Source organism: Homo sapiens, chromosome 7 (genome assembly GCF_000001405.40).
Source record: "Homo sapiens chromosome 7, GRCh38.p14 Primary Assembly".
Classification (NCBI taxonomy): domain Eukaryota; kingdom Metazoa; phylum Chordata; class Mammalia; order Primates; family Hominidae; genus Homo; species Homo sapiens.
In genome coordinates, this window is record NC_000007.14 from 118,683,273 (window position 1) to 118,695,895 (window position 12,623).

The 12,623-nt window shown below is 32.9% G+C and overlaps 1 annotated feature.

The window, feature by feature from the left end:
• Nucleotides 1,110-1,310: a silencer, noted in NCBI's record as "peak6701 fragment used in MPRA reporter construct". NCBI's record gives its function as "represses an SCP1 promoter by STARR-seq MPRAs in K562 erythroleukemia cells {active_cell/tissue: K562}" and the evidence as "EXISTENCE:reporter gene assay evidence [ECO:0000049][PMID:32103011]".

The window sequence follows — 12,623 nt, forward strand, 5'->3', positions numbered from 1 at the left end:
GAAGCAAACACGTCCTTCTTCATATGGCTGCAGCAAGGAGAAGTGCTGAGCCAAAGGGGGAAAAGCCACTTACAAAATCATCAGATCTCACGAGAACTCAGTCACTATCAGGAGAATAGCAGCATGGGGGTAACTGCCCTCATGATTGAATTACCTCCCACTGGGTCCCTCCCATGACATGTGTGGATTATAGGAACTACAATTCAAGACATTTAGGTGAGGACACAGCCAAACCATGTTAATGTACCTCCTCTCTACATATACTTTAAAAAAGACAAGCTCAATTCTTAAAGTATGTTTTATGATTAATTAAAAAGAAATAATAAAATAGAAAATGAAAAGCTCACACTTCTGCATAATCAGTATTATTTCATAAAATATTTTGGAATAGAGGATATAAAAATAGCAGAATATGTGGCAAAGAAATAGACCTAAAAGGAACAAAATTGTATCTTAAAAAATAGATACATAAAAATTAATGAAGTATATTAATTAAGTATATGGTATGGCATTAAAAAAAGCACAACAAACAAAAACAAAGGCTGAAGAAAATGATACAAATGAAACAGAGACTAATGAGTAGCACAATAGAAAGTCAGTAAATCTCATAGGAGGAATCAAATGAAATGCTAAGTAGCTTACTTACTCTCATTTATACATATAAAGTCTAAAAATTTAAATATCTGAGAAGTGAAATCAGCAGCACATTTAACTTACATATCATAACCAAATTCTTCATTCTCCCCCACCTCACCTCAGCAACCACCACCAAGGAATGCAGTGGATACTGATTATAAAGGATTTGGACAACTGTAAGGAAAACTGGAAAACAATATGGGTATGTCATACTTTATATCGTACTCCTAGATGTAGGAAGCAAAACCAAAGAAAGTACTAGAGGAAAATGTGAGAGTTATTTTATATATTTAGAGAGGAAAATTCAGTTTTTAAAAAATGAACATTTTATTTTAGAGTAGGGTTATGTGTTAGAGTATGTCCCCCAAAACAATATGTTGAGGTCCTAATTTTTCAAACCTCAGAATATGACTTTATGTGGAAATAGAGTTATTGCAGATGTACTATAATTAGTTAAGATGGTGCCATTGGAGTGGGTCCTAACCCAATGTGACTGGTGTCCTTTTAAGAGGAAAATTTGGACACACTCTTACAGAAGAAGATGATGGTAAGACACACTGGGATAAAATGGCCGTGGAACAGATGGAGGCAGAGATTGGGGTTATGCTGTGACAAACCAAGTTCTGCTAGAAACTGGAAGAGGCAAAGAAGGATCTTCACCAAAGAATTCAGAGGAAGTACAGCACTACCAGCATTTTGCTTCTGGACGTCTGGCCTCCGGAACTATGAGAATAAGTTTCTGTTATTTTCTGTTATTTTAAGCCACAAAGTCTGTGGTTCTTTGTTCCGGCAGCCCTAATAACTAATACAAATATATTTACATTTAAAGAAATGCAGGGAAGGAAGTGTAGGATTTTCATGTACTCCACCCTCAGTTTCCCATATTGTTAACAATTTACATTTGTATGGGACACATGTCACAGTTACTAGCCAGGATCCATACTTTATTCAGATTTCACAGTTTTTACCTTAAGTATCCTTTCTATATTTGTAGATCTCATCTAGAATACCTCATTACATTTAGTCATCATGTCATTTTAAGATACTGTAGATTGTGATAGGTTTTCAGGTTTTCCTTGTTTTTGATGACCTTGACAGTTTTAAGGACTACCAGCCAAATATTTTTTAGAATATTTTTCATTTGATTTTGCCTATTTTTTTTCTTATATTAGACTGTGATATAGGTTTGGAAGAGGAAGATTAGAGGTAAGATGCCATTCTTGTCAAATCATGCCAAGAGTTTGTACTATAAACATTACCTGTCACTGTTGAGATTAAACCTTGGTCACCTGGCTGAAGTAGTTTGTCAGTTTTCTCCACTGTGAAGTTACTCTTTCTGCTTCCCTTTTCCACACTGTACTATTTAAAAGGAAGTCACTATACATAGTCCTCTGTTAAGAAGTAAGGAGTTAGGCTCAACTTCTTTGAGGCAAGGTTTGCTACCAAAACTATTTTGAATTACCTTACACAGGAAAATCGGATTTATTTATAGTTGTTCAAAATTGGACACATTCAAGATATCCTTCCATAGGTGAATGGATAAACTGTTACAGCCATACAATGAAATATTATTCAACCATGTAAAGAAATAAGCTATCATGCCACAAAAAGACATAGTGGATCCTTAAACACATATTATCACATAAGAGAAACCAGTCTAAAAATATTGGATACTGTATGATTCCAATTACATGACATTCTTGAATTGGAAAACTGCAGAGGCAGTAAGAAGATTAGTGGTTTTCAAGGGTTAAGGGGCATGGAGGAAGGGATGAACAGATAGAGCCCAGAGAGTGATAAAGGTGGTAAAATTATGCTGTAGGATACTGAGTAGACCGTGCATGTAATTGTGGATACATGACATTATTGTGAAAACCTATAGAACAATACCATACAAAGAGCAAACCCTAATGTAAACTATGGCTTTACTTAATAATAATATTGGTTCATCAATTGTAACAAATGTACCATCATCAGTGTAAGATGTTAATAATAGGGAAAGTTGTATGTTGTGGCTGGGGAGAAAGAAAAGAAGTATACAGGTACTCTCTGAATGTTCTGCTAAAATTTCTTGTAAAACAATAAAAAATAATAAATATCAAAAAATAAAAATATAATAACTATTTTTAAATTATCTATATTATTATATATATTCCATGTCTACATATATTTATATATTCTCTCTCTGTGTGTATATATGTATAGATACAAAGAGCTACTGATTTGTAAGCCCTGAAAATCTTAAAGAATTAAGATATTTCACTTGCTTCCAAAATTATTTTTTAATGACTTTAAGTGTTAGTGAATTCTGAATACTAGTATTTGGTATGTTTGCTTACTGTTTGAACTATAACTCCCTAGATGTAATTTTGTTACATGCATTGGCCTAATGATTATGAAGCAAGTTTAATTTGAACCAAAACTGTTTTTGGACAAATATGCTAGATCCATTATTCATACCTCTAGTGACAATATATAAGAGAAAATGGAATTCTTTCTATTCTATACCATGAGTTGGAGACGCCAAAACTTACGGCTCCTTAAAAATTCATTCATGAGCCTAGAAATCATACTACGGTCTTAATTTTTCTCCCATTGTCAACATTTATTTTGAATTTTGTGGTGATTACATTCATCATTAATTATCATATTCTATATATTTACCATCAAAGTTTAACCTAAGCTCAATTGGACCAGGGGCCACGTGTTTTCCCTCTGTTTCCAGTCAACTCTAATCTCAGTGCTTTGAACACGAATACACAAGTGATTTTTTCATTAGCAATGTGCTTATTTTCTCAGTTTTTGGTTTCATCACAATGCCATAGGTATAAAATTAAATTAGTTAAAATCACTAAAATGGTAGATTTTAAGTGGCCACTCCATGAAAAATGAGAAGTATATGAGGTAATGAATATATTAATTAGTTTGTTCTAGCCATTCCACTGCAATGTACATATATTTTAAAATATCATGTATATGACAAATATACACAATTTTTATTTGTCAACTTATTATTTGAAAGATATAAAATTCAATTGCCAGTTACCTAACCTATTGAACTAAAACTGATTTTATTTACAAAGAAGACATCAAAACTACATGAACCAACAATTTTCATTAACATTCATGGATTCACTCTGGTCAAACACTGATTGAGTCTATAATTGGTACTTTTTTTAGAATTTTATATTTATATATTTTAAATACATATTTATAATATATAATACATATAAATATATAATATATAAATAATTTATATAATATATTTGTATGATATATAGATAAACAAAAATATATAAATGTATACATATTTATATATTTATATTTTTTATAATTGGTACTTTTACTTTTTTAGAAAAATGTTTCCTATATTTTGTTAATAGGATAAGGTAAAACTGATACACCAAATAAAGGAATAAATTCATTTCTTCAACTTATAAACATTTATTAAGTGCTCTCATTCAGTGAAAAGTACTGTTTTGAGTCCTGTGACTCCATTAGTGGTGAGGGGTTTTCTAATCCTGAAACAGTCAAGAAAATGGTGCTGATAATAAATGATACAGTAGCCCTAAAAGCAGGGTGTTATTGAAAACCTATACTCGTGGTACATTTAGAGAACTAAAACAGTCTGAAAAAGCTGGATCAGTATGTCTATGTTTGCATGTGGTATGATTGTGGGGTGTTCGTGTGTGCGTGTGTGTGTGTGTGTGTGTGTGTATTAGGATTATATAGAGCAAATGTCAAGAGGAGGCTGAGGTGCAAAGGTGATCATGATCAAGACCTTGGTATTTCTCAATGGTAGCACTATTGGCTTTTCAAGTTGATAATTCTTCATTTTATGGTGTTGTTCTATGCATAACAGGATCATTAGCATCCTTGACATCTACATAGTAGATGCCACTTCTGCTACTAGACATTGTGACATGCAAAAATACTTCTATACTTTTCCAGATTTAGTCTAGGGAAGTGGCACTACCTACAGTTGAGACCTACAGATGTGGAAAGCATTGCTATGCTAATGTTGCTAATATTATCTTGACAATCGTGAGAAATCAATGGCTTTAACTGAGGGGAGACATAAAAATGATTGAGGACAGCTCACTCTAGCTACATAATGAAGAAATGATAACAGAGTGCTTTTTGAGGCAGACATACTCTTTAAGAGATTGCCCATTAATTCAGGCAAAGGAAGGTGGTAGCCTATACCAGGATAACAACATTGAAATGGCAGAAGGGGAAAGATTTAAAGTGGAAAGGAGATAAAGTCAACAAAATATGGTGATTGATGTGATATGAGCTGAAAGACATGAGAGTTAAGGATGACCCTAGGTTTCTGACTTGAGCAACTAGGTGGAAGGAAGGGCCATTTGCTAATTAGACAGATTTGAGTGAGGGCAGATCCCAGCAGAGTAAGAGGTAATAGCCAAAGGAGCATTGTGGAAATAATAATGCTCTAACAATTATTTTGACTGTGTGATCAGAATTTGTTCTGTTTTGCTGTGACATGTGTTTTTATTGGAAGTAGCACCATTTTTCCAAATGCTATTCCCGTTATGTTTTGTTGAGTTCTATAATAATTTGAACTCAATACACCACAACAATAGTTTATGTAATTCAAATAAGAGTAGATAATATTTTATTTTGAAAGACAAATTGGAAAATAATCATTAATTTAACATACTATAGTTTCATGTATGCACACATAAACACTACAGTTTAACTTTTTGTATATAGGTATACTAGACAATAGACAATTATTTCCACTGTAAATGATTTTATGTCAAAGCCTACAAAACAGCATCTTACCATTAGTATGAAATTGAGATGAGCCTGCATTCTTTTGTTTTTTTGAGACAGGGTCTTGCTCTGTCACCCAGGCTGGATTGCAGTGGCGTGATCTTGGCTCACTGCAACCTCTGCCTCCCAGGTTCAAGCAATCCTCCCACCTCAGCCTCCCAAATAGCTGGGACTACAGGTGTATGCCACAATGCCAGGCTAAGCCTTCATTTTTGTTTCAGTAAAGACGTTATTAAATTGTAAAAGTAATTGCACTTTTGCCATTACTTTTAATCAGCAACATATGACTTCTGGGTGTTGTGATTTAAAGTGAATGAATTAATATCTTTATATTTTACATCAAATTTTATCTTAATTTTTAAACTTGCGAGTGTCTTTCTCAAGACATATCCATAATCATGTGACAGCAAAGAATAGACAACTATGCATATCTTAAGCAATAAATCATTTTAAAAAAGTGATTTTATTTTCACAAAGTTGTAACTTAGAAAATATATTTAACGGGATTTTAATGAATATTTATAAGGTAATGTATACCATGGTGGGTAGAAGGTGCAATGGAAGTTAGAGTCTTTCACATGTTGGCAGAAATCTAAGCTTTGTCATTTATTAACTGTTTTACTTTGGAAAGTAAGTTATTTAATTCTCAGTTTCCTTGTTTATTATAGTTGTATTAGAAACACAACATAAAGTGCTAACAAACATTAAGTACGAAGTATAACAGTCTGTAGGCTAAGGGTTTCAGCCTTGAATCCAGTTGTTGGGCTTCAATTTCCAGTCCCATCTCTTTGTTGTTGTTGTTGTTGTTGAGACGGAGTCTCGCTCTGCCGCCTTGGCTGGAGCGCAGTGGCGCTAACTTGGCTCACTGCAGGCTCCGCCTCCCAGGTTCACGCCATTCTCTTGCCTCAGCCTCCCCAGTAGCTGGGACTACAGGCGTCCGGCCACCACGACCGGCTAATTTTTTGTATTATTTAGTAGAGACGGAGTTTCACCGTGTTAGCCAGATGGTCTTGATCTCCTGATCTCGTGATACCCCCGCCTCAGCCTCCCAAAGTGAGTGCTGGGATTACAGGCGTGAGCCACCACGCTGGGCAATTTCTGAAGTATTAAAAATATACCCATATCTACTGGTTCAAAGTGAATTTTAAATATGTCTCATCTCTTATGAGCTGATTGAACTTAGGCAAATTACTCTACCTTCTTGTATGTAATTTTCATCTTTGAGAAATGAGAATAATAGTATCCAACTTATATTGGATTATTTATAATTGTAAATTTGTATATGGTTGTTTAGAAGATTATGTATAAATTAAATAATTCATGTTCTACGTATAAGAACAAATGCTATACAAAGGGCACTGAATATATGTGAATTTATATTTTTATAATAGTGGTAATAATAAGAAGAGGTGTCATAATTAAGAAGCAATATTCATTCATTTACTAGATCCACAGTATCAGAAACTTGAAACTCACAATATAGAAGTCAATGTTTCTGTATGTATATTTGTCTCAATTTGTTATATACTAGGCCAAATATAGTAATTTCTGAGTATTGTATCTTTAAATATCCCTTTATTTTAATTTTTAAGGCTAAGTAAAAAGGAAAGTCACCAGGTAGACCTGATGTTGATTACAAAAATCAAGAGTCTGGTAACCAATGGACAAAATTAGTATGTTGCATCTTGTACATCCAAAAGGTCTTAATTTTTTCCCTAAATATATTACATGTAATATCAATGGTAGCCATGAAACAGGACCAGCAGCGGACAGAATTCCAGAAAAGTGGCAGAAACAATGAAAAAAAAAAAAAGCAGTTGATAACAGATAGCTTGTTTAAAAGTGAAAGACTAAAGCATGAGGCTCGTAGTAAAGTTTTATCTTCAATTTTATGTTTATGTTTTATGGTGAGAATTTCAAGAAATGCATACTTTTTATGTGGAATATGGGGACATTCAATTTATCGCAGTTCCCAAGAGTTTTCAATCCTGCATGTATATTATCATTACCTTAGAAGTTATTTTTAAAATAGCCATGCCTGTCTCATGCCTTATACCAATGTAGTTAGAAACTTTGGTGAGCAAACACTGATATGTTTAAAAATTTCCTAGTTGATTCTCACGGGGAGCCAGGAAAAGGAGTCACTGAAATATATATGCAACAAAATTGTACTAATTATACAAATAATACAAATTAAGGAACTTAGAAAGGTAATTTTGTTTAAGAACACGTAGCATATAGGAAGCAGTATTCTAAATGCTAAATGTTATGCATTTAAAATTCATTTGCTTCTGATGTAGCAAATGAAAACAACCACTTATAATGAGTACTGTTTGCATGTGAACAAACCAAGCTAAAATCCTCACAATAATGTATTCTGTCTCATGCACTAAACAGCCATGCAATTTTTCTGTATGTTTTCTTTTCTCAGAATTCATTACTTGAATAACATAAAATAGAACTTTTGCAGTCTGAATCAAATTATTATAAATTATGAATAATGGGTATTTAACAGTACAAAAGTGCTGGAAGTTTTATTTGAAAGATTCTATTAATATCATGGAAATGCAAAGTGAAAATATTTCTTCTACTATATACGTTAGTTTATTTATAAATTTATATATACCACACAAATAACAATACTAAACATGTCACTTTATTAGCCTGTTCTCTATAAGTTTAACTTAAATTGCCACTAATATGTTAATAACCTTGACTAGAGATTTCAAAATGTTAATACTCAGGATGATTTTTAAAATAATAATTTATCATGTTGAATTCAGGCTTGCTTGATCTTGCAAATCCTATATAGAAAGTAAGTTCCGTGAGTTGAAGTTGAAGCATAGATGTTATGGAAATTTAGATAAATATCAACACATTTTATAATATTTTCAGAGAGCTTAATATTATTGCAACAACAAAGAAGGCTGTATTTGGAAATCGGGTTGGGATTTGAGTTAAAGCTTCAAAATATGTGAAAAAGCTTATACAACAAATCATCTTACAGATCGCCTACATTTACATTTACATGCAATGATAAAAGAATTCTCTCTAGGCCCCCTATGAGGATATTCTCTCCTATCAAAATAAATGCATTGAGTTCATAAATTCAGTAAGCCATGATGTTTTAAAAATATTTGGGTGATGTAAATTGCTCTTGTACACTGTAGGAGATGTACTTTTATTTATATTACTGACTTTACAGAGATTTTATTTGTACTACCGGCTTCTGCAATTACAATGGATTTCCAGAATTAATGAAGTGCCAGCATGAGCTCAGAAACTTTCTGTCACCCATTTCAGAACAGGTATACTAAGTGGTTGCCTTCACATCATATCTTAAAATTGCTTTAATACATAGACCATTTTAAAATCATGGTATCAGTTTAGAACATTTTCAGAAAGACTTTGCAAAGATTTCCATTTCCTCAAAAATACTTTTTTTTTTTCCAAGTATTCTTTCTTATATAATTTGGACGAAGCAAAGTCGCTTAGTGGAAAAGTAATATTTAAAAATAAATCCCCACTGGGCCCTGGAGCTGTCCCTTAGGAAAGCATTAGTAGGAAATGAATTAATGTTTCCCAGTTTTTAGCTTTATATTTTCTGTTTTAATATTGCTTAAATGTTACTGGCTATCTGCAATAGATTTAATATTCTATAATACTATATTTCATGTACTTTCCTAGGGGTTCTTTGTCTTGTTTTTCATTTACTACATCAGGCTATTATTTGGCCACATGTAAGAACTTGGACATTATTCTGTTGTCCAGTTTCAGCTGCCAAAATACTTTTGATCAATACAGCTCCCAGAAAAATTAGGCCATAAAAAGCAATGTGTTTAATAGGACTTTTTTTTTGTCATTACTGAAACTTTCATTTTGAGCACCGAAAACTATGGAAGGTCTCAGCTCTTTCTTACCCTTTAAGTAGCTTCAGTGTGCTTCTGCTTGACTATTAAGTACAAGCTGCATATGAACATTTAGTTCATCCTTGAAGAAACACATTGAGCTTGAAGTTATTTAATGCAACCATATAAATTTCTATGTAGGTGTTTCCAGTTGCAACCTGAAGTGTATAAAATAATGGGGCAGAGCTAACAGCTTGATTTAATGCCTTGCTCCAGAAACATCTCTGCCTCTAGCAAGAAAACTAAGTTAAAAAAAAAGAAAGAAAGAAAAGAGGAAAGAAAATTCTACAGCTGTATGAACACCTAGGAAAAGTATCAATTTCCTTTATAAAACTAAGTTTGGATAAATAAAATCTGCATACAATAATATTGTATTAGATTCTTTCTTAATAATAGTTAATGCAAAGTATTTGTTTGACAAGACTTATTCTTGCCTTTTGAGTAGATTATATATGCAAAACAAACCAGGTTTACTGGTACAGAACCAGAAGCCTAATCATTTTATTCTTAATTCATAAATTCACAGGAGTAGTTTAGAAGTGATGATGTGCAGGTTTCTTAGAGTTTATGTTGCAGATCTCAGTAACAAGACTGTAATTGATTTGATCTCTTTGCCTTTAAAATAAAGTAACTCACATAAAGCCTAGGTAGTAGATTTTTATTACATGCTTTTAAAATACATGCAACATAAGCACTGAAGGAATTCATTTCATTAATGCAAGTCAAAGCCTAAAGAGGTTTCAGAAAGCTAAGCAGAGGTAGGCTTCTCCCATCTCCCATGAAAAGAACATAGATCAAAGTCTCCTATAGCTCTCTTCAAGAAAATGTCTAGAATTCATTACACATACGATGTTTTTTTTTTGCACCAAACATCACTTAAGATGGAAGAACAGCACTTGGACTTGGAAAACTTTACTATAGAAAGCCGTTTTTCTAGAAATAAGTTGTTTTGCCTTTCCTTAGGGTCCAGGTCAGGGAGTATTTACCAACAGATAATAATAGGAGTTTCAACCGAGGCTAAGGATGCCACTACATTGAAGCAAACATCACTTAATGAGTTAATTATTAAACATTTTTTATTCTATGCTCAAGCAACATCCTAAATATATCTTTGTTGTTAATAGTCTATTCTTATTGTCAAAATTATTGTATAGTTTCACATGATGAATTGTCATATAATTTAATCAATGACTTACCAGTTTTTCCTTCCTTCCTTCCTTCCTTCCTTCCTTCCTTCCTTCCTTCCTTCCTCCCTCCCTCTCTCCTTCCTTCCTTCCTTCCTTCCTTCCTTCCTTCCTTTCTTTCTTTCTTTCTTTCTTTCTTTCTTTCTTTCTTTCTTTCTTTCTTTCTTTCTTTCTTTCTTTCTTTCTTTCTTTCTTTCTATCATTCTCTACATATTTTCTCAGATATCACCCAGAAATTAAAGTGAACTTCTCCAGGCATATACATCTGTGAAGCCATAACAGACTAAAAAAATCAATATTGAAATCTATATGGGCTTTTACTAAAGATTAAACTAAACATGTACTTAAAACATTTTAATGCAAACATAATTGTAAGTGCTTCTTGGTCAACAAAGAATTCTCAGTTTGACATAATAGTTCTTTCTGCAATTTCTGTTTTTTTTTTCTTTTTTAAACAGAGGTACAAGGTATATGAAATATGAAGGGCAGAAAGTATATAACTCAATGTGATATGCCATCACTTTCTAGATAATTCCGAACATTTTAAAAGGCTTTACTGTGCCCCTTTTCAGTCATAGGCCCCAGATATAACAACTATTTCTGACTTCTGACTTCTAGTATTATAGATCAGTTTTGCCTATTCTTTCATCCCTTAAAAATAGAATCATACAGAATAATCTTTGTGTTGGCTTTTTTCACTCATCAGTATGACTGACTTTCATGTACTATTTGCATTTAGCAGTAATTATTCTTTTTTGTTGATGCACAATGTTCAGTTATATGAGTATACCACAATTTATGCAACCATTCTACTGTTGTAGGCAACTGGATTATTTTCTGTTGGGACAAGCAGGAATAAAGTTATTATGAACATCCTTGCACATGTCTTTCAGTAGATGACTATATTCACTTCTTTTGAGTATTTTTAGGGTGAATTTTTGAGTCATAGGATAGGTGTATTTTTAAACTAAATGTTACTGAAAAGGTATCTGAAGTGGTAGTAAGTTCTTGATATATTTTTAAAAATTAGCATTGTAGATCTTCACTGTAAATGGTCATATATTAAGATCATACGTTAGCAATTGCCTGGATGTAGTAAAGTCTTTGCCATGCACCTTGTTTTTTTAAGGTTAAGTGTTTCATAATTACTAGTTAAGGGACTGATCAGGTACTATTAGGAGGAATATGATGCAGAGGATTGTGATTAATATATAGTTTCCTGGGATTATTTGGCTTTCAGACAGGGTCACACAGTTGACCATATTAAGGACAGGTGCCAAGGTCAGGAGACAATCAGAATGAACTCTGAGTGGAAGATTATGTGATTGCAAGTTACTGGACACTTAGAATTCTATGTGCTTTGAGCAGGAAGAATTCAGAGTAGGGGAATAAGTGGCCCCAGTGAAACTTTTCAGATGTCAAGGGCTAGCTCCATGCTCTCACAGAAAATGAGGAGGCAGCAAAAGTCTGCAGTGACAGTCAGCTGATGCTCTGACAAACTCGAGTCAAACAGAAAATCTGAGAAAGCATTAAATCAAAAAAAATTCACTTTGCATTCCCTTTTGGCTATTTATTACTATAGTGGACAAGTTTTGTAAGGGATTAACCAGATACATTTGTAGTAAATTTGATGTATTATGAAAAGGCATTCCAAGTTTTTTACAGGTAAGCTTTAATGACCTTCTATATCAAGGTGTTGTCATAAGAAAAAGAGGTTATATGTGATGTACCAAATTAATTCAATCATTTTAACAATGTAATGTTAGCTTTTTTACATTAGTAGTACTAAACCAATGTCCTTTACTAGTTCCTAAACAGCAAGTATTTTTTGCTAACTGTAGTTGGGTTTCCTATTGAGAATGAATTATTGTTCTGATGTGATTTGTAACAAAATCCAAATATTAGTCATTGACTGTGTCTTTCTCCTTGGCCTCTACTTAAGGCCACAGGCTGAGTGGTTTAAAAGATACCCACCTTACTTATAGAGAAATTCAGCAAATATTTATTGAATTCTTGCCACCTCTGTGAAAAGGTTTTGGAGTAAATAAAGTGATGAAATGTATTCCTTATGTTTTAATATATTATTTTGTTATGTGTT